General features: G+C 34.6%; 1 long non-coding RNA gene across 1 annotated transcript in view; it reads right to left on the bottom strand.

Annotated features, from left to right (window-relative positions):
- Nucleotides 1-823: 823 nt before the first annotated feature.
- The window catches only part of CT75 (cancer/testis associated transcript 75), a 39,440-nt gene continuing 16,037 nt past the window's right edge, over nt 824-24,226 (bottom strand). The window contains exons 2-4 of the long non-coding RNA NR_136642.1: nt 16,041-16,542; nt 5,722-5,754; nt 824-4,828 (exon numbers count right to left, since the gene is read on the bottom strand). This is a non-coding gene — a long non-coding RNA (cancer/testis associated transcript 75). The remainder of the gene's footprint in view (nt 4,829-5,721; nt 5,755-16,040; nt 16,543-24,226) is intronic.

Below are 24,226 nucleotides of genomic sequence, written 5' to 3'. Positions count from 1 at the left end.
AACCATATTAAGTAAATGGGAATAGAGTCAAAATATCCATATTCTCAAATTTCAAAGACTGCTTTTATTCTTTGCTGACTTTCCTATTGTTTTTAAATTCATACAATGGCGTTCCCTTACAAGGTACACAACTGAGAGTATTCTTACCTTAGTTACATTCCTTAGGAGCACTATTTCAAATATTTTTCAAAAAGGCAGATACTCCATAAACTTTCTTTTTCATTCCAAATAACACTTATTCAGAAAAGGGAATGCAATTTATTATATCTAATTAGTCTGCTGCTCATTAAACCAATATCTTTTAAAATAACTCCATTATGGTCTTTTGCTCATTCCTTTCATTGACAGGGGTTTCATATTTTGGATACTTTTAGGCAGGCCAATATTATGGAATCACAACTAAAACCCTTTTTTTTTTCTTTTTAAAAATATGTATTCAGCCAAATCCACAATGTGAGCCATTCTACGGGACATTTGGCTAGGTTTCATCAAGAAGTCAGTGGCCCAGAAATAAATAAATGGAATTGAGAGAATGTTCCAAATTGAGGGTTAAGACAGAGATAAGATTATTAACAGCTGAATACAATGAGTGGACCTGTCTGGATCTTGATATGTACAAGCCAATTTTTCAAAATTTTTTTAGCATAGAGGGGAAATTTGATTATGGCCTGAGTATTAGATAGAATTAGGAATTTTTGTTAGCTTTATTATGTGTGGTAATGCATTATGATTGTTTAAGAAATATCATCCTTCTTTAGAGATTTGTCTTACTCTGTTTTGTACTGCTATAAAAGAATACCATGGGCTGCGTAACTTATAATATACAGAAATTTATTGATTCATGGTTCCAGAGACTAGAGAACTCAAGATGAAGGGAGCAACATCCAGTGAGGGCCTTCTTTCTTCGTCATCCCGTTGCACAAGGGCAAAGAGAAGGTGAAAGAGAAAGGCAAAAGCAGGTTGCACTCATCCTTTTATAAGGAACTTTCTTTCCCAGTAATGGCACGAATCCCTCATGACCATTAGGTGATTACACCTCTTATTAGGCCCTACCTCCCAACACTGTTTCATTGGGGATTCAGTTTTCAAAACATTTAAACCATAACAAAATGTGTGCTTTAGGGCTAAAATAATGTGATGTCTGGAGTTTGCTTTAAGAACTAAAAAAAAAGAAAGAGAGAGAAAGCCTAGGGGAGATTAGTGTGGCAAATTGGTGACAATTGCTGAAGCCCTATGATGAATTCATGAGGGTTGGTGATATTCTCTGCTTTTGCACATTTTAAAGAAATTATATAATACAATATAAAATTCAATCTTATTTTAAAATATTACAGAGAAGAAGTTTATAAGGATACCATACTTTCTTTTTTCAACTTCTAAATGTCTTATTAACTTCATTTACAATTTTGTTCCTAATTATAAAAGTAGCATATACTCAGTATTTTAAAAACTAAAAAAAACACAACAAAGAGCAAAGAGAACACAAAAATCACATGAAATTACCTGTAGATAAGTTGAGGACAAACAAAAAAGATCACCTGAAAGAATAATTATGTTTCCTTCTAGTCTCTTTTTATTGTTATTACATATGCTTGTTTTAAATAAATAGATTTGGGTTCAGCTATTTGTTTCCATTTTTTTTTTATTCCAGAGTGGGTTCTGTTCAATGACAAATAAATAGTTGGAGTTTGATAAGAACCTCAAATGTTGGATTATTTGAGTAGTGTTGCCTTCCTGCCATAGCAAATGGGAAGATTTCCCACGAGGGCCTGGGCATTGTAGATGATCAACACAAATGCTTTTTTTCTTCTTCTCTTGCATTTCTTTAGCTTTTAAAATTTGATTTCATCTTCTGATCAAAACAATGCCACAATTTCGTAATTTCTTCACCTTTCTGCTGGTACTGAGAGAAAACTCTTGTTTTATTCTTGTATTAAATGGCTAACTACTTATTTTAAATGCTCAAGAATGCAATAGTTATTGATTCGGTCATCTTTTTTTTTTTTTGATTTGGTCATCTTAAGGTATCAGCTTGATTGTGTCAAATAAAAAAGGAATAGGCACACCCCCAAAACTGGGTTGAACAAAGTCCTTAGAAATATATTAATCAGCATGACTTTGGAATAATATTATATGTGGCTATAACCTGGTGAAATAATGTCCTCCTCTTGACAAATGCTGCGGCTATCTTTGGGCATAGGTCATTCTGAACATCAGGGAGGAACATCGCTACTTGTCCCTATTAGTGCCCTACAAGCCCTGATGGCTAAAAGATGACCAGATAGTACTAAAACCCAGGAGAGATGCTAACTTGAGGAATGACTATGTTGATGTTTGTTTCCCTTAATCCACATTTACCCAGGTTCAAAAGTAAACCTCCTTTTAACATTATGAGCCTTCTGATGTGCTAGAAGCACACAGATCATCTATGAAGTATTCCTGCTGAAACATTTAATCAAGCCTCTAGATGTGCATCAATTGCTCTTGTTGCAAAACTGATCATCTGGGAACTTGGTGGCTTAGAACAGCAACAATGTATTCTTTTATACTGTTCTGTGGGTCAGATAAATGATTCTCTGGTTGGAGCCATCTGGTTGAGAATGGCTTCATTCCTGATGTCATTTGAGGAGATGGGGATGACTTGGCCACATGTTTCTCATTAAGCAGCAGACTTGAGAGCCACAGGACTCCCAAGAGCAGCAAAGATGAGCAAACCCAGCACACAAGCATGTAGCAAGCCTCTGCTGTGCCACATTTGCTACTATCCCATTGGCCAAACCAAGCCATATGGCCAGGCCCAGAGTCTAGGGGAGAAACAGACTGCACCACTTAATAGGAAAAATACTGTCAGTTTTGCAGTCTAACCACATCTAACTTCTGGTTTATATAAACACAGTGTAGAGAAGAAAATGTTACATGTTATCATAAAGAAATAATTAGGCGAATTCAAAATGTGCAACATTCTATAGATACCTCATCTGGGGTTTTCAAAAAGTCAATGTCATAGAAAAAAAAAGATGAGCTATAGGGATGGGGAGACTCTTCTAAATTTAAAATGACTAAAAAGAAATAACACCCAAAGCCAATGTATGAACTTTATTGGGTAATTATGCAGGAAAATAAAAACTGCCATAAAAAAACATTTGGACAACTGAATATGGATTAATACAAATTTAAATTTTCTTCGATGTGATAATGGCATTAAGGTTATGTAGGAGATCATCCTTATTCTTAAATGATGCAAAGTGACATGTTTAGGAGTGAGATGTCATAATGTCTATAATATGTCTTCTAATGGATTATCAAATCAATATGCCTATATATTATAGAAAGAAAGAGATAAAGCAAATATAATGTTATGGGTTGAATTGTGTCCACCCCCTAAATTTGTATGTTAAAATACTAACCCCCAGTACCTCAGAATGTGACTATATTTGGAGTGGCTCTTTAAAGAGGTGATTAAATTAAAATGAGGTGGTTAGGGTGGGCCCTACTCCAATATGACTGATGTCTTATAAGAAGAGAAGAGAAAACACAGACAGCCACGCAGAGACAGGATACTGTGAAGACAGAGGGGGAGGACGGCCAGCTACAAGCCAAGGAGAGAAGCTTCAGAACCAACCCTGCCAACACCTTGATCTCAGACTTTCAGCCTCCAGAACTGTCAGAAAGTAAATTTCTGTTGTATAAGCCATCAAGTTTCTGGCACTTTGTTCTAGCAGCTCAAGCTGACTAATACACATGTGAAAATGCTGTTCATTGTTGAGTCTAGGTGAGGCTGTGCAGGTATTCATTGTGTTATTTTTTTCAAACTTTGTGCATGTTTGAATTTTTACATATTAAAAAATGGGAGGATGCTATGGACTAAATGTTGTGTCCCCACAAAATTCATATGCTAAAACTTAATTCTCAGTGTGGTGGCATTAGGAGATGGAGTTTCTGGAAGGTGATTAGGCCATGAGGGTGGAACTTTCACAAATGGGATTAGTGCCCTTTGATGGAACTGAAGAGATCAGAGTATTATTCTTCCACCTAGTGAGGACACAGTGAGAAGGCACTGACTATGAACCAGGAGGTGGATTCTTACCAAACACTGAATCAGCCAGCGCCTTGACCTTGGACTTCCAGCCTGCAGTGCTGCAAGAAATAGATTTCTGTTGCTTATAAACCACCAGTCTATGGTATTTTGTTATAGCAGCCTGAACAGACGAAGACAGAGGACGAGGCCTTCTAGGACACCTTCTTTAGTCAAGCAGCTCTTAAGAAACAATATTTTCAATCAATTATAAGTGAATTTTGAAATATAGATTTGGCTGCAACCTTGCTTAGAGAATAAATGAGTAGTTGGAAGCTTGACAAATTAAATGACAAAACCATTTCTCACCATATCAGCAGTTCCCTTGTTTCAAATTATAGGCCATTAGATCTAGAGAGAGACTTAGTGACATGATTATTTTGGAAAATTATTTCGTGCAACAGAATAAAAGGACAGTGTGGCCATTGTCTTGAGTTTCAGCTCCAAGTTATTTCAAAACAGCAGCAGTGGCAGCTGGCCAACTTTGAAATACAGTGACATGAATAAGGGACATCGATGGTGGAATTATCCAAACAGTGCATTAATTCTGTCAGTCTGCCAACAACTCAAACAAATATTTCCTGACAAAGTTGTATTGCATTTTTAGTAAACAATGTAAAGGGATTAATCAATAGGATTTGATTCAAGCAAAAAAGCGGTTCATTTTGTGTATGTTGCCTGTCTTTTTTCTTTTCTTCTGCTCTTCTCAGCAACTGTCCACACATCCAAGTGACCCGGCTCTTTCTCTTCTCCCTAGCATCAATGAGGTGGAAAAAGAAATGATCACATATCCAAGTATTACTATTTACAATGGTGCTTGCATTTTTTAATGCTATCAAGACTCAGAGTGGTTTTCAACACTAGCAACACGTTAGAATCAACTAGAAGATGTGAGCAAAACAAAATAAAAATGAAAAACAATGATTCTGGGATATATTTTTAAAAATTCTGATAATTTTTTCTGAGGTAGGACCTTGGTATCAGTATTTAAGTTTCCCAGGTGAGAGTGTGAAGCTAGGTGAGAATAACTGCTCTAACCACAACAAGTCCATGCACTTCTTGGTGGTCAATGGAGAGCCTGTAAAGTGTTCTTTAAATTATCTCCAAAAATCTTTTTAAAATATCTTTTAAAATGTATTATAAAAAAGTCTAATAATGCTATTAAAGTATCATTTCACTTCAAATTTTTTTGAAAAGTGTTTTCTGGCATGAGATATGCTATTATGCATAATAGGATGAAGTATAATTATTGTAGTTGCCAGGCTGTGACATCTAAAATAATTTTCCCCATTGACAATACCATAAGAACTCCAGGAATCCCAAGACTATGATTTCTAAATAATATTTTCTACTAAAGGGAACTAGCGCTTCTTGAAGAATGAACAGTTTGAGGTCTGGAGCACAAAAGGTACATGATGAGCCTAAGAGAGCTGTTTGCCCTAAAGCAAGGATACTCAAAGTCTAATGGGATGTTTCGAAATGACTCAAAAGCCAGAATGAAGACACTCCCATTGGCTACAATTTGAACATCTGAAGGAATAATGACTATAAAGTGATTGTAATAAAATAAACAAAAACCCCGGTTCATACTAACACTCAAAACTAAAAGAACAGAACAAAAAACAGAAAAAAAGAAATTCATTTACCACTACTGGAGGCAACGATTACAACTCCTTATTCTGAAAAGAGAAAAAGAGTTAGACATAAATTTGCCCCGGTAGAAGGAATAAAACTCATCTCCAGTTAATGGAGAAAAGCTCTTCTTTACAGATAGATGCTACCTAACTTTCTTAAAATAAATATTTTTTAAAATCCCCAAACCTCAATGACATAATTGATGAAAGCAGCAGTAATTAATAGAGATTAGCAACTTTAGGTAAAAAGCTAATGAGACTTCTGTTTTTGTTAAAGGTGAAGTAACAGGGATAAGATATATCCTTCCACCTGACACAACCAAAACTCTAGACAAAATATGTAACGATGACATTCAGCATTGGATATGAGATGACAAAGGACAGCAATCTCTGAGAAGTGGAAAACAAATGAGGTAGCCCTCTGAGTGTACCAGCTTATTGCTTGGAGTTAGTTTTCAGGTTGCAGTACAGTGAAGGGGAATCCAGGCAGAGCTCAGTGGTATCCCTGGGTTGACAGTATTGAGCTGGCAATCCAGGGAAGCCAAGATGCCCAGAGTTCACAGGGCAGACAGGAAGTGAGCGGCATTTTTTAAAAAATCTGGAAATACAAAGGAAATCTCCCTCAAATATTCAGCTCAGTATTGATAAGCACATGTATGTGAGGAAACTACCTGAGATCAGGAAAAGAATCACCTGAAAAGATTAGAAAAAATTTAATTTGCAGTTTAAAAAAATCCAAAAAAACTTCCTATGAAGAAAATTCTGGCCCCAGATATCTTCACTGGTGAAATAACATGAATTTTAAACAGTCTTCCACAAAATTGTAGGAGGGAATACTTTCCAACACATTCTATGAAGCCAGTATTACTCTGATAACAGAATCAGATAAAGCTTTTATTAAAAAGAAAAGAAAATTATGGACCAATAACCTTTATAAGCATATATGCCAAAAATTCTAAACAAAAGTTTGGTAAATTGAACTGAGAAGTATATAAAAATCATGGCCAAGTGGGGTTTATCCCAGGAATGCAAAATTGGCTTGGCATTTGAAAATCTATCAGTATTTTTAAGAGAAAAAACAGAAAACCAGGAGGAACTGCTTAACCTGATAAAGGGCAGCTCTGAACCTGTAGCTGGCACTATATTTAATGGTAAAAGAATGAATGCCTCCCCTACCCAGGAACAAGCTTTTACTGCTTCTATTCAATATTGTACTGGAAATAGTAGCCAGTGCAATAAGGCAAGAAAGAGAAATAAAAGCTATTCGGATCAGAAAGAAAGACATAAAACTGTCATTATTCTGAGATAGTATGATCATTTGCATAGAGAATCTAAAGAATCTACAGAAAAGCAATGAGAACTAATAAGTGAGTTAAGCAAGGTGGTCAGATGCCAGTTCACTATAAAGAAGTCAGCTGACTTTCTTATATACTAGAAACAATAAACTTAAAGCAATGCCATTTATAATAACATCAAAAATATTAAATACTTAGGGATACATATGACAAAAATGTGCAAGACTTGTATACTGAAAACTAAAAAATATTGCTGAGAGAAATTAAAGAATACCTAAAGTTTCTGTTGTGTTCACAGATTAGGAGACATGATATTGTTAAAATGTAAATTCTCTCCAATTGATATATAGATTTAATGTTATCTCAGTTAAAATCCCAGCAGGTTTTATTATTAAAAAAAACAAGTTGATTCCAAAATTCACATAAAAAAGCAAATGACCTAGAGTAGCAAAAACAACTTTGAAAAAGAACAAAGTTGGAAGACTTACACTAACGTCAGCACTTTTTATAAGGCTGCAGTAATCAAGGCTATGATATTGCTATGAGATAGATAAATAGATCAATACAACAGCATGAGAATTCAGAAAGGGACCCACACATACAAGGTCAATTAATTTTCAACATAGATTCAAAAGTAGTAGAGTTGAGAAAGAATAATTTTTTCAACATGTGAATGGATACATAAATGGTATATTTGTACAATGGAAATTATTCAGCAATAAAAAAAAACAAGCTATTGATATACACAGCAACACAGATGTATCTCAGAATATTTATACTGAGTGAAAGAAGCCAGACCAAAAAAAGAATACATGCTGTATGGATTCCATTGATAAAAAATTATAGAAAATGCAAACTAATTTATACTGGCAAAAACCAGAGGTGTGGTTTCCTTGGGATGGGAAGCGGGGAAAGGGCAAGAGGAAACATTTTAGGGGGATTATCTTTATCATTATCTTTATTGTATTGGTGATTTTACAGATACATTCATATTTCAAAGCTTACTAAACTGTCCACTTTAAATGTGTACAGTTTACTATATGGCAATTATATGTCAATAAAATTATTTAAGAAAAGCTAATGGGATGTTTGCATGCTACCAAAGTATTATTCTACCCAACAGATTGATTAAAGTACTCCTCAGATTAATTGTTAATTGAAAAGAGAAAAAAATGAATCTATGCAAAAGGGAAATCTGGCTGCCACCATGATAACCAACTGATCAAATTAAATATCACTAATAGTGGGACAAACTGACATTAAATGCCTCTTGAAATCTTAACACCTAAGTTCAAATTCATGGAAAATACTCAGGATAGAAGAATTTAAACAAGATCTAACTGAAACCACTAGACAAATCCAGAATGTGGAATATCCTACAAGACAATTTGCTTAGTCTTTTCAAGAAGTCAATGATTGGTTGAGGGTGGGGGTGGGGAATTGATTAGGGATAACAAATGTCATGCGTTAAACTTTATTGGATTTTACTTTAAAAACAAAACAATAACATTTTGAAGAAAATTGATGGTAATTCAATAGGGACCAAAACTCTATCAAAATTGGTATTTGCTCCAGCACAAAATCTCCTTTCTTCAAGCTTGTTTACCACATGCCTGAATGAAAAGAAAATCGCCCACATACAATTGCAGAGATCTTCTGAAGCCATATACCCTGGAAATAGTCAAGCTGGCTTGTGGCTTGAAGCAGAGGAAGAAAACTGAAGTGGTTCGTTACTGAAAGAATACTGTCAACTCCAGAATTACTGCCATTTCTTCCAATATTTTGAAAAAGATTACAGAGGGATTGTCGGTTCTGCCCATAGTACGGTCTACCAAAGAAATCACATCTTGGTTTTCCTTCCTTGTGCTGCATTAACACCATCAAAGAATCCCTGTTTTATCATTTTGGGCATACAAAGACCATCGAAAATGTTAGAATGGAATTTGCAAAGTAAGACTTCCACTAAAAGAACAATCTTAATACTGCTGTAGAGATGGGGGCCCTGTGATGCATGACAGCACATCAATACTTGCAGCTTTGGAAAAGACGTGTGTATTTTGTGGCTTTCTATCTAAGCAAACATTGATGGCAAAACAAAAAACAAAAAAAAAAAAAAACAGAAACAAAACAACAACAACAAAAACCCGCGCCAAACTTCCTGCAATAAATCTTGTCCATTTCCATGAAACACAGCAACTTCATCAGACTCAGGACCTCAAATCATCACTTTTTTCAAGATTTAAAAAAAAAAAAAACAAGAAATGCAGTAGAAAATAAAGTATGTTTTCTTTCTTGTCTTTCTATTTTCTTTCTTTTTCTTTTTTTTTTTTTTTTTGAGAGTCTCACTCTGTCACCCAGGCTGGAGTGCAGTGGTACAATCTCAGCTCACTGCAACCTCTACCTCCCAGGCTCAAGCGATTCTCCTGACTCAGCCTCCCAAGTAGCTGGGATTACAGACGCCCACCACCACGTCCAGCTAATTTTTGTATTTTTAGCAGAGGCGGGGTTTCACCATACTGACCATGCCAGTCTCGAACTCCTGACCTCAAATGATCCACCCACCTTGGCCTCCCAGAGTGCTGGGATTACAGGCATGAACTACCGTGCCCAGCCTAAAGTATGTTTTCTATAGACGGGAATTTGCTGGCTTTCTACAAGATAAGCCTTGAGCATTTGAATGACCTTCAGGCAAAAAAGAAAATAGGGACAGGGGAAGGGAATGTTGAAAGTAAAGGAACATTTACTTAGGACAATTGGACATGGATGAGTTTATTTACGGCTTGACTTATTTTGTGGATACTTTTGATGAAACTAGTGAAGTAATTTTTTCCATTCAAAGGCTTACATGCTATTAGGAAAGCTGCAGAGCCACTATGAGCTCTTCTGTCCAAACTGCTGCTCTGGAAAAGGAGGTGGGAGCAGGCACTCCTGTTAGTTTTCAATGCTAGGAAAAAATGTTTCTTTAGGCTGAAGTAGAGAGTAATATTTTTTTTTCCAGTTTTCTGCAGGCAAAAATCTGTGGGCACCTGGAACCTTGCAGAATCCTTTTGATGCTTATTTCTGCTCCAGTGATCTTGAAATTAAACCTGTGTTTATGATCCTTAACTTGCTGACATCAAATGTGCAGATTCCGCCAATAATGACCTCACAAAAGAATTGATGCTACATGGTTTAACCTAAGCAGAGTCTTGAAGAAATCTGATGTTGCTTGACTCAGGCCTGCCCTTGTCTCAAAAAATGTACTATGGGAGCTCTGATTCCATTATTACGTTTATGAACTATGTGAACAACAGTTTTTCATCACTTATCAGTCAAAAGGAGAGATGAAATCCACTGACAAAGATGACATTGGCATTTCATCAGATAGCATGCTACAGTTTCATCCTCTCATTCAAGCTAAACAACAGCACCTTTGCTGTTAGATTAACTTTTGAGCAGATTAAAATGTACCTTTTGTTTTACTTGTTTGTTTGGAAAATTTTGTATGTTTTTGCGTATCTTTGCAACAATTTTGCGTATTTTCCAAGAACGAGCATGAATTTCTGCCTGAAAAAATGCGAGTGAAGCATAAGCATAAAATATTATTTTTATATTCTGTACAAGTAGAAAAATGTGTGTTCTTTATTCCAAATGATACAAAAGCATTCTGAGTTGATGTCTGTGTGTTTTTTCCTGGGATGCCTACCATTGCTTCCTTTGGCTTCTCAAAGTGGTACTATATCCTAAAAATGTAAGAAACTGCAAAAAAGAAAAAAAGAAAGAAACTCAAACAGTGGAATTTCAAGCATCCGTCAGTAGCTGGAGCAGGATTTATAAAGCATCCAGCTCTTTCTAGTGCCCTAACACCTCACCAAATGACCGTCTCCTCCATTATCTCTGCCTAAGCTCATTCTTGCAGTCTAGCTCAAGAAGTAAAATAAATCAGATATTGCCCAATTTTTACAAATTTATCTTTCTTAACCAATGCTTTTGCCACTTTTTTTATGTTCCCTGGCCTTACTCAGCTGGTAGGCTTCTCTGGGTTTACTTAACACAGAAGCTTTGAATCTGACCCGTGTATAAGAAACTGTAGGAGAGAAGCTAAGGGACATCATCACATTTTTTTATTTGAGGCGAATAATCTCTTAGACTGTGTGCTATAATTTGAACATAATTTCCTAGACTTATTTTTCCTGTTAGCATTGAAAAATAAGTCTGCTACTGAAAATATTTCAACCATTACAGGGTTAATCCATGACTAGAAACAGAAACAGTAAAGTACAAATAGAAGGTAGGACCATTAGTTATATCATTGGTGCTGTATTATCACATAAAATGTTGCATCTGCTTTCCCTTTATATTTGATCCATAATATATAAACAGAGATGAATGAGATATAAAGGTGCAAATTTCTTGAACTGTATTAAATATCTGTTAATTAACAAAGTATCCTGAAAACTATAATGAACTGTAAAAATTCAAAACTGTCATCAAATATAATTCTGTTTTGTTTCATTTTCAAATAGAAGCAGTAATTCTCTCACTCAACTTCATTTGCATAATATCATAATATTATGGTAACTACAATCTATTCCTCTTTACCATATATTTCATTAAAATGGGAAATTTCAGCCAGGCTCAGTGGCTCCTCCTGTAATCCCAGCTCCACGGGAGGCTGAGGCAGGAGAATCGCTTGAGCCTGAAAGTTTGAGGCTGCAGTACTCTATGATCAATCACATCTGTGAATAACTACTGCAATTCAGCCTGGGAAACAAAGAGAGACCCTGTCTCTGATTTAAAAAAGAAAAATGAGGGTAGAGAGGGTATTTCCCCTTCAGAATACACTTTATCTCTGAATCTACAAGTTTCAATGTAGATTTTGAAACAAATTAATAATCTTTATGACATTGGCCTAAGTACAATTCAAGCATTTCTCAAGTAGAAAGTGTAATGTGATTTTTTTTTCTATTAGATATAGAACACAAATAGAAGAGAGAACCAAAATCTGTCCAAATAATTTATTATATATGCTACACTGTAAGGTCACTCCTGTATTTTACCTTCTATAAGATTTTATAAACTAAGTAAGATTTCTAAAAAGTTACAAAGTCCCTCACAAATGTTTTTTAAATAAATACAAAAGGAATAATCCTAAATATTTAAAAAGCTATATTAAAATGTTTATTGCAATTAAAATTATGATTTCTAAAAGTTTAAAGTTTCTTATTCATAAATATCATTCAACTTTAAGATATCTATCAAATTAGTTTATTAAACAACACAGTAAATGATAAAAGATCATATTATTATATCAATATTCAGTCATTTTCAACAAAAAGCATGGGATAAAAAGAAATATATTAATATGCTAAAGACCACTCATAAAAATCCTGTGACAATCATAACAATCAATAATCAAGATGTTACTATACTAGAAAATAACATCTTGAAGTCATTTCCTTTAAAATTAAGATCAAGAAGTACTCCCACGGCTGGGCGCAGTGGCTCACACCTGTAACCCCACCGCTTTGGGAGGCCGAGCTGGGCAGATCATCTGAGTTCAGGAATTTGAGACCAGCATGGCCAACATGGTGAAACCCCAGCTCTACTAAAAATACAAAACTTAGCCCGGCGTGGTGGTCCACACCTGTAACCCCAGCTACTTGGGAGGCCGAGGCGGGAGAATCACTTGAACCCCGGAGATGGAGGTTGCAGTGAGCTGAGATCATGCCACTGCACTCCAGCCTGGGTAATAAGTCAAGACTCTGTCTCAAAAAAAAAAAAAAAAAAGTATGCCCACAATTATAATATCCAGTTTTAACTGAAACAATGAGAGAAGGAAAGAGTCATTATAAATATTGAAAAAGTAGAGACAAAAATGACTATATTACTATGTTTTCTTTTTTAAATTATTGTATATTTAGAAAAACTAAGAAGATAATAAACTTCTTTAAAAAATAATAAGAGAAATTGATAATGTAATTAGGCACAAGATATATGTACAAAAATACTCACAATAATCTTATTTTATAATAGCAGTAATATGTTAGAAGTAGAAATGGAAAAAAAATTCCATTCATATTTGCCAAACCAAAAGCAAACACACAAACAAAAAAAACCACAACCCAAGATGGGCAAAGGCCATTTATTTAGAAAACTATGATTTTTATTGAGGGATATAAAATGAAATTTGAGCTAAGAGAGAAAGATTTTCTAATCCAGTGTGGAAATGGATGCAACAATTTAATGTGACCCCAGTTATAATATCAATGTTTTAAAATAGACAAAACAAATATAAACTTTATGTGAAGGGATTAATATCTGAGAAAAGCCAGTAATTTTTGAGGAAGATGTGTATATGTGCATGTGAACATAAACACAAGTAAGGGAATAGATACTATCTTACTTTCCCAACTATTAAAATTCATGACAAACCCACTATGATAAGATAGTATTCCTGTACGTTAGCCTAAAACATTTTATATTTTAGTGTCTGTGAAGTAATACTGAAAGAATTTAAGAACAGTATGTTTATAGTCAACAAAGTAACATAATTTTATTTTATTATTTTTGAGGCAGGCTCTGGCTCTGTTGCCCAGGCTGGAGTGCAAAGGTGTAACAATCATGGCTCACTGCAGCCTCCATCTCCTGGGCTCAAGTGATCCTCTCACCTCAGCCTCCTGAGTAGCTGCGACCAGAAGTGTGCCACCATGCCTGGCTAATTTTTGTATTTTTAGTAGAGATGAGGTTTTTCTAAGCTGCCCAGGCTGGTCTCGAACTCCTGAGCTCAAGTGACTTGCCAGCCTCAGCCTCCAATTGTGCCAGGATTACAGGCGTGAGCCATTGTGCGAGGCTCATAATAATTTTAATTAATTATTTATTTACTCCAATATAGAACAGTCTACCATGATATATCATAGTGGAGATGTTAATAGAACAATGCAATAAAATAGAACAGGAACAAATCTAAGGATATATGGTAGCTTGATATATAACCAAATTGGCATTTCAATTCAAAGTAATGAATAATTGAATACATGGTATCGGCATAATTTATTCTCTGTCTGAAATGCACTCCCAAACAATAAAATTCCGTACTTTTTTTTTAATTAAGTGGGGAAAGATGTAGTGTATAAAATTGAAGTGCAAATGGTAGATTGGAGCAAAATAATTGCATTATATGTGACAGACCAAGTATAATTTCCTCCTACTACAAATTCCTCTTACTAAGCCTTAAGAAAAAGACAAAAAAAGAATGAAAGTATGGGGAATTCATAGAAGAAAAAATTCAGATTATCAAGAAACACTTGAAAATATTAATAGCTCCATTTGTAGCATGGAAATGCAAGTAAAGCAAGATAATTTTTTAACCTCAGATTGTCTATTAAGAGCAACAGGATCTAATGTTGTTGAGGGTGGGCTGAAACTAGCAATCTAAGACACAGCTGATGAGAATGTCAATTGCTGAAGTCTTTTGTGAAATTAATCTGAAAACATCTACTAAAAACTAGAATACTCATGCTTTAAGGATTCTGCTTGGGATTATGTATCCTATAAAAATAAAAACCAATATGTAATATTGTGTGCTTAATGATTTTTATTATGACATTATCTACAGGGGCCAAAAAAAAAAAAAAGTCCACCTCTAAACAACCCACTGTCCATGTAAGAAATGGCTGAATAAATTATGGCACATCAATATCATGTACTATAATGCAGCTATTTTTGTTTGTTTGTTTGTTTGTTTTATTCTGTTTTGAGACAGAGTCTCACTCTTGTTGCCCAGACTGGAGTGCAATGGTGCCATCTCGGCTCACTACAACCTCTGCCTCCTGGGTTCAAGCAATTATCTTGCCTCAGCCTCCTGAGTAGCTGGGATTATAGACATGCACCACCAGGCCCGGCTAATTTTTGTATTTTTAGTAGAGACGGGATTTCACCATGTTGGCCAGGCTGGTCTCGAACTCCTGACCTCAGGTGATCCGCTGGTCTCAGCGTCCCTAAGTGCTGGGATTACAGGCGTGAGCCACCGCGCCCAGCCTAATGCAACTATTAAAAAGGATGTTAGGTGTACATTTGGGCTCTGGAGATGCCCATGATATATTACTACATGAAAAAGACATTGTAGAACAAGGTATGTGATATAATCCCATTTTCAAAACCAAATTCTATGTATATACATACATATATTTATGATATATATTAACATGAGCATTGAGAAAGATAGAAACTTGTGCAGGAAAATGTTAACATCAGTTGGTTATCTTGGGGAGTGGCAAGTGGGATTCATCAGGAGTAGAAGGCAGATTATTAGATTTTCTTAAGTGTTTCTATGTTGTTTGACTTGTTAAAACATGTCACTTTTGTTACTACAAACTCTAAGAAAGTTTAAACAAAGCACCAATAGGGAAAATACTTTAAATATTGGTAATAGATTACTTTTCTCAGTTGTAGGAGGACAGCCTCCAAAAACCAAAGTACTGTTAGCAATAGGAACTGGGTCTCAGAGACTGATCACAGCCTCAGTATAGTTACTTTTTAGCACTTTTTTAGTAAGTTCCATTGCATCTTAAGTGGAAATATTTAATCTCATATGAATTTAAAAGATTTATAGCAAGTGACTATTTAAAACAAGTAAGCAGATTTAAAGGAGTAAAATATAGATAATAGGAAGATACTCCTACATTCTAATGAAGACTCACTAAAAAATACTCAAAGAAAAAGCTTAAAAATTATTTAGAAAGAAAAATATACAGTTAAAAATGATAGATGTAATGTGCTACAATCATACAATGAAATTCAGTTGACCTTTTGACTCCCCCAAAACTTAACTATTAATAGCCTGCTGTTGACTGGAAGCCTTACCAATAACATCAACAGTTGATTCACATATATTTTGTATGTTACATGTATCATGTACTATACTTTTACAATAAAGTAAGCTAGAGAGAAGAAAATGTTATTAAGAAAATCATAAGGAAGAGAAAATATATTTACTCTTCATTAAGTGGAAATAGATTGACATGGTTTGGCTTTGTGTCCCCACCCAAATCTCACCTTGAATTGTAATAATCTCCACGTATAGTGGGAGGGAATTGGTGGAAGGTAATCGAATCATGAGGGTGGGTTTTCCCATGCTGTTCTTGTGATAGTGAATAGGTCTCACGAGATCTGTTGGTTTTATAAAGGGAAGTTCCCCCACACATGCTCTCTTGCCTGCTACCATGTGAGACGTGACTTTGCTCCTCCTTTGCTTTCCATCATGATTGTGGGGCTTCCGCAGCCATGTAGAACTGTGAGTCCATTAAACCTCTTTCTTTTATAAATTACCCAGTCTCGGGTATGTCTTTATTAGCGGTGTGAGAACAGACTAATAGCATGGATCATCATAAAGTTCTTCATTTTCCTTGTCTTCACATTGAGTGGACTGAAAAGGAGGAGGAAGAGGAGGGGTTGGTCTTGCTGTCTCAAGGGTGGCATAGGTGGAAGAGAATCTGTGTATTAGTTAGTAGACCTGCACGGTTCCAATCCATGTTGTCCAAGGGTCAACTGTATTGCACTATGATAAAAATTATGAAGATTTTATTTTAAAAACTTGGAAAATACTATAGTTATAACATTATCTAAACAAAGCAGGATGCAAAACTCTGTATGCTTTTGATTACAACCAAAGAAAATGACAACAATAGCACAACTTCTGTATTAAAAAAAGACCAAAAGGAAATAGACTAAAATATCAACAAGAGAAGGGGAATAAAGGGATTTTTGCCTTTTTTTCTATTTCCTAAACTTTCCAAATATTTTGAAATAATTGTTATTACTACATAGCACTATATAATTACAAATGGAGTAGAACTTTATTTGACTATATTGATAACAAATATTTGAATTGTTATATATAGTACTTTATGATAATAAAGTTCTATGTAATATGCATAAATAATGACCTTTAATAGTTATTACATATAATATTTTATCCCTTAATAATAGTAAATTTAGTAAACAATAGTAACTATTGAGGAATAAATAAAGTGTCAAATATTTTAAGGCAATAAATAATATCTGGATAGTTAATCTCACCTTGTAATTGCATAAAATATTTATTTTCTACAGCTCAATGCTGAAATTTCATAGATAATTTGCTGAAACTCTTAAATATCATGCTTGATGAGCAGTGTGGAATTTCAGCCTCCGTTAACTAACTAAGCCCTGCAGTTCTGTGCTGGCATTCCTGTGCATTAGCCTAAAACAGTGTCTGTTTACAGTGTCCAGGATTTTTTAAAAAGTCATATTAGTAACATGAATGGAGCTGGAGGCCATTATCCTTAGCAAACTAATGTAGAAACAGAAAACCAAATACCACTGCATGTTCTCACTTTTAAGTGGCTTATTTCATTTAACATGATGAAAACACATGGACACATAGAGGGGAACAATTCCCACTGGGCCTATCAGAGGGTGGAGAGTGGAAGGAGGAAGAGGATCAGGAAAAATAACTAATGGGTAGTAGGCTTAATACCTGGATGATGAAATAATCTGTACAAGAAACCCCCATGATACAAATTTACCTATGTAACAAACCTGCACATGCACCCCTGAACTTAAAAGTTAACAAAAAAGTCATATTAATTGTCAGTAAAAAAGTATGATTATGTTAATCCAGGATAGTATAATCTACCATGAAATGTCACAGTAGAAAAGTTTAACTACCATATAACTGACGTAACGCACAAAGCCAGAGTGGAAACGTGAATATTGTCTTATACCATCTTACTGAGCCATCACTACGCATCTCTTCATTTTCCAAACTGTAAACAGATATCATGTCTCTAAATGATCTTGTTATTTAGATAAATAATGACATGCCGGTAAAGTACCTAGTTGAATGTTGGTGCCATCTTTGTCATGTCCATTTGCCAACCAGCAAACTCAACAAGGAGACAGGAGAACTAATGATACCAAAAATCAAGTTCCTTACCAGTACCTCTTCCACTTTTTTTTTTTATCCTTCTAACTCACTAGAATAAGAAACCTTTATATTATTAGGATGTATCCAAGAAAGGGATTTCACCCTGAGTCAAAAGGGACCCCAATAAAGGTATCAGGTCCAAAGGACACATTTTTTAGTATCTACTGTGTACCAGGTTCTTTCAGTCATAAGGCACAGAAGCCCCCTCACAAACGAAAGTAGGTAAAATGGGGAGGGATGTGGCAATAATTTAGAGCATCAGGGAAATCTTCCAGAATCTTAGGTCGTCACAGTGCATGGGTATAGGAACAGAAACATTTCTAAGCCAAGGCCTTGTCCCCATCTCTCAGGGCCTTGCTAACCTCATCTCCATGTGCCTCTGTTTCTTGCTTTCATTGGCTCTTATTCTCACTCTTGCTCTCTCTTCTCAAGCATCCTCTGCTTTTTCATCTCCTGCTTGGCCCAGTTTAGCCATCTTAGCCTTGATCTAAATGACCTTTCAGCTCAAGTGCCTCCCACAGACTAGAATTTCCCTGTGGGTTTCTTGGTTCAGATTCCAGATAGAAGGAATGTGATTGTTGAATTCATGAATGAATATATGTATGAATGAGTCAATCAATAAATAAATGAATTCAGCATTATTCTGCTTTAAGAACTTTTATTGAAAATAAATAATCCATTGAACTCATCTATTTGCGGAACAATGTTCATAGGTAGAAATTTATTGGGCCGTCTATTTCCTCATGAAGGAAATTTTCTATGTAATATTACAAGGTTTCTATTTATGCTCCCAAACTATATCTACTAAATTTGTGTCATGTTGAAATAACTTTTTAAAAGATATTACTTATTCATTTTTAATTTTTATGAGTACATGGTATATATATACGTATCTTTGGGGCACATGAGATATTTTGATACAGGCATGAAGTGTGTAATAATCACATCAGGGTAAACAGGGTATCTCACCTCAAACGTGTATCATTTCTTTGTGTTACAAACATTCCAATTCCACTATTGTAGTCATTTTTAAATATACAATAAAATGTTTACTGTAGTCATCCTGTTGTGCTATCAAATACTAGATCTTACTTATTCTATCTAACTATATTTTTGTACCCACTAACCATTCCTACTTCATCTCCCCACTAACCACTACCCTTCCCAGCCTCTGGTAACCATCATTCTATCCTCTATCTCCATGAGTTCAATTGTTTTACTTTTTAGCTTCCACAAATGAATGAATACAAGAGAAATTTGTGTTTCTGTGCCTGGCTTATTTCATTTAACATAATGTCCTCCACTTCCATCCACTCATCAAAATTTAATAAAACTGTCAACCTAGATAACAGAGCTCTCTAAAAGAAAATGATATTCATTCAGAAATAGGATCACAATGGGAATATGTGCATGGTTTACTATGTCATGCTTATTCCCATTGCAATGTTTATTCCTGAATAAACATCATTTTCTTTTAGAATCTCTATCTCTGTTATTTATGTTGTCAAAAGAAAACAAAATTTACATCTTATGGGTTAGGCACTTGTTAAGTACTCTGTTATTTTGTTTAATCATTATAATATCTACAGAGTATGAAGAAATTTAAGCTTAGAGGGTTTTAGAAATCATTTCACAGTAACACTGTGAAGGAAGGACTCCCATAGGTTTCTCTGGATCCATAGTTTATAAGCTTAGCTATGAAGTATATAAGTATATATACATAGGTATATATACTTATATATATGTAAGTAATATAAGTATATAAGCTTAACTATATAAGTTATAGTTATATAATTATATAAAGTATAAAAGCTTTACTGTAAGTATATAAGTAAGTATATAAGTAAAGTATATAAGCTTAACTATATAGCCTACTTCGTACTCCTAGGTGAAATAAGACATTTAAGCCCTGTGACATATAGTTAATACAACATTTTGCTGAAGTTTTAGCAATCAGTTAACAGGTTGTGACTGGTTAGCAGTTATTGTAGAGTTGGCAAAAGGAAGAGATAATATTTGTCATCTTTACAGTTCCTTTTAAGCACTTTAGATTTTTTAAACACTTGAAATTGATTGAAAGCTCTGCATTTTGCAAGGAAGTGTTCATATCAGCCCAATGCCAATAGTAATTACAGTGTTCACATGGCAGAGTTTAAGTGATGATCTTCCTTATCAGAGTGAAATCAACCTGTGGAATTGTTGCTGACTTGCAAATCTTAAATACGGCATTTCTGAATTTCAATTCTAATTGCCACATCATTTAAAAACTTTAGCCACTACTTGAAATATATATAAATTCAAAGCAAAATCCAATGTATCATTTTAATGTGTACTTTCCTTTGGACTATTTGTGATTATCTTTATTTTGATGCTCTTGAGTATAATACTTTGTTAATTATCACAAATAAAATACTGTATCATTGAATGTTCACTTATATTTTACTATAAAATGTGACTCCCTTGGCCTTATGATGTGACATAACAGTAGTTATCCTTTTGTGCATCCTCTTGTCTCCACATAGCACTTTTATCCATCCCAGTCTAAAGATTATCTTCATAGTCTTAATCTGAAGTAAAGAAAGATATGTCTTCATTATCTACATAATGGGCTCATTTCTCCATTTCCCTTTGGATATGAATGTGAGTCTGAAACTACATTACATTATTTATAATTTCATGCTGCATCTCTTAAGTGAGCTAAGCTCTAACTTCAACACAGGCAATTTGCAGTTTCTACTAAATCACAGTTTAGTTTTGTTTTTTTTTTTTACTTCTTTTTCTTCTATTCTGCAAGGATCTTAACTCTAAGAGACAGAGTTCAGGTACAGCATTTTATAACATCATAGTATCTTACGTCACTGAGGTTTTCTATTTCATAAAAATGATTTCTTTGGCCAATATCATCTGGCATGAATCTAACTCTAATAACTTCCTTGGGCCTACAGTTTCTTTTACTGACCTTGCTTAAATTTCTAGTGTACCTTGAGTTTGTAGAGGCATTCAGAGAAAAATCAAAGATAAAGGTGACTTTAATATTTGAGTGTTGGGCAGAAATTTAGCAAAATTTATACCTGGCTGTTATTTTATTTTTCAAATTAGGCTGAACTTTGCTAGAGTTCATCTGAATTTCTCATTCAAGCTTTTCCTCCCTAACTAACTGTAACAAAAATATTCTTTTTTTCCGAAGAATGTTCAAGCAACATACCAATTCTCAATCTATGAAGTACAAAAAGTGAAAGTTTCTTAAAGACTTAATGGAAAAAGATTCATTGAGGAAAATAATATTAGCTCATAAAATATTCCCTAAGTTAGGTGTTTTATCAACCCATAGAACTATCAGACTAGTGTTCTGAGCTCTTTGTAAGGTCTCTGTGTTTCCTTATTGCTATGCTTATATCGAGGTTTCTAGAGATAGCAATTTCACTTCCAGCAATAAATTAAGTCAATAATTAAAATAACAAAACAAGGTGTATCTATGTTCCTCACTCCCCTGAAAACTGTACTATCTGAAGCAGGGGCTCTTTGCTTCTGCCTAAATGTGCTTTGACTCCCCCATATTTGTCAGTTATCTTGTAAGTTAGAAACCAGCTATAACCACTTAAGAGCTACATTACTATCCCTTATTTTGATTAATATCTCTTCCCCCAGGGTACATATCTAGATGATGGCATCTTTTCTGAATAGCTTCCATCTGGAGAGCAACAGTTCTAATTTTTCCACTTACATATGTAAGATTCATTGTCATGAAGTAGTTTCAAAAATAGTAATAAATATTTGACTTAATTATCCTACAGAAAATTTCAGTCTTTTATAACTGCAAACTGAGGAAAGGAAACATGACACTGATGTAAGTAAAGCAGTTCTATTTTTTTTAGAGTCACATAACTAATGTTATTTGTCAGTATGGTTTGGACTTGTAGCAATAATTGATTAATAAATTGCTCATTTACTGCCATCCCCATAGTAGAATCCAACATGTACTGTGACTGTTCAATAATGTACATTTTAATTAATGATTTCTTTTCTCTGAAACTGAAATGTCAATATGATTATAAGCGTGTATGCTGAGGACAGAGTTCAACAGAGCCTCTTAATAACAGAGCTAAAATGGAAGGTAACAGCTTGCTTGCCACATGAGGCTGTGACCAATTAAACCAGCTCCCTCAAGTGTTCAATGTTGGGGAGAAAGAACTGTCAAGAATCCCATATACTCACAAATAAGTTCCTGATCACTTTGTGTTGTATGCATTGACTATTGCTATGATCCATTTAATAGAGATTGGGTCTTTATTTTATGCTCAGAACTTGCCTCTGTGGGCATCACTCATATTTTGTAGCAGCTTTGTCCCAGTAGGCAACATGTATGGTTAGATCAGATGCTACTACGTTTGATACAGAACTACTCTTTATTATAATAGATCTATGACCTTGTGTAAATTGCATAACTGAGCCTCAGTTTCTTCATCTATAAAATAGGTATTTAATGAGGCAATATCTTAAAGTACCATGCACAAAAAGGTATTCAACAAATGAGAACTATTATTTTCTCTTTGGGTATCCACGTCCAACCTGGTTCAATATCTGGATTATGTTATATTTATTTATTTATGTTTAGAGACAAGGGTCTCACTCTGTTGCTCAGGCTGGAGTGCTGTGGCATGATCATAGCTCACTGCAGCCTCGAACTCCTGGGCTCAAGTGATCCTCTTGCCTCAAGCCTCTTGAGTAGCTGGGACTACAGGCATGAACCACCACATCTGACTGGATTATGTTATGTTTAAAGGAGACAGAAGTTTATTCTTGTGTGGTATTTTGGGAAAAATGTGTCATAAAACTTTCCAGATCTTTTATAATGAGTCTTTGTAAGTTTTTAAATCAAGGGCAGGTAGGAAATCCTTACTTTTAAAAAATTCAATATGGCATCCACATACGGAGCATAGATTTTTCACCTCTTTCCCTTCAGAAATCCCATTAAAATTATAGCATAGGAATAAAAAGGGAATAAAAGCTAAGCTATTCAGAAGGGGACCTTCACAGATGAGAGTTCAATAAATTTTTGGAAGACAACAGCATATAGAAGATGATAGTTTAAAAAAAAATAGCTGGGGTAACTGCTATAGGAGTTTCATAGGAGAGATGAGTTTCTCATAGGTAGCATATAACTGGGTCATGTTATTTTTATCTAGTTAGTCTGCATCTTCTTAACGAAAAGTTTAATCTGTTTACACTCATGGTAATTCTTGATATGTGAGGGCTCATTCTTGTAATTTTATTAATTGGTTTCTGGTTGTTTTGTGTATCCTTTGTTCTTTTCTTTCTCTCTTATTGTTTATCATTATGATATGGTGACTTTCTGTAGTGGTAACATTTGAGTCCTTACTCTTCATTTGTGCATTTGCTCTACCAGTGGGCTTTATACTTCTGTGTTTTTTTGTGATGGTAGATACTGTCCCTTTGCTTCCACATGTAGGACTCCCTTAAGCATATTTTTTAAGGCCAGTCTAGTGGTAATGAATTTCCTCAGCTTTTGCTTTTCTGGGAAAGACTTTATATATCCTTCATTTATGAAGGATAACTTTGCTAGGTATAGTAACTTTGTTTGGCATTTTATTTTTCTTTCAGCACTTTGAATATATCATTCCATTTTCTCTGGGTCTTAAGATTTCTGCTGAGAAATCTGCTGTTAGTCTGATGGGGGTTCCCTTATAAGTGACTAGACACATTACTCTTGCTGTTTCTAGAATTATCTCTTTGTCTTTGGCCTTCGACAGTTTGACTATAATATACCATGAAGAAGACCTTTTTGAATTGTATCTATTTGGGGATCTCTCAGCTTCCGGAATCTGGATGTCTAAATCTCTTGCTAGATTAAAACAATTTCAGCTATTATTTCATTAAATAGGTTTTATATTTCTCTAGTTTTCTCTTTGCCTTCTGAGACACTGAAAATGCAAATATATGGTTGCTTTATGTTGTCTCATATGTCATGTAGGCTTTGTTCATTTGTTTTTATTAATTTTTCTTTGTTTTTGTCCGACTGGGTTTTTTCAAAAGACCAATCTTCAAGTTCTGAAATTTGTTTTTCTTTTTGGTCTAGTCTATTGTTGAAACATTTGAATGTATTTTGTGTTTTGTTTAATGAATTCTTCAGTTCCAGAATTTCTGTTTGGTTTTTTATGATATCTGTCCCTTTGGTAAATTTCTCATTCATATCCTGAATTGTTTTTCTGATTTCTTTATATTGTTTTTCTGACTTCTCTTAAATTTCACTGAG

The sequence above is a fragment of the Homo sapiens genome, chromosome 2 (genome assembly GCF_000001405.40).
Source record: "Homo sapiens chromosome 2, GRCh38.p14 Primary Assembly".
NCBI lineage: Eukaryota > Metazoa > Chordata > Mammalia > Primates > Hominidae > Homo > Homo sapiens.
Note: the sequence above shows the minus strand (reverse complement) of the source record. Positions and strands in the feature narration are given on the sequence as shown.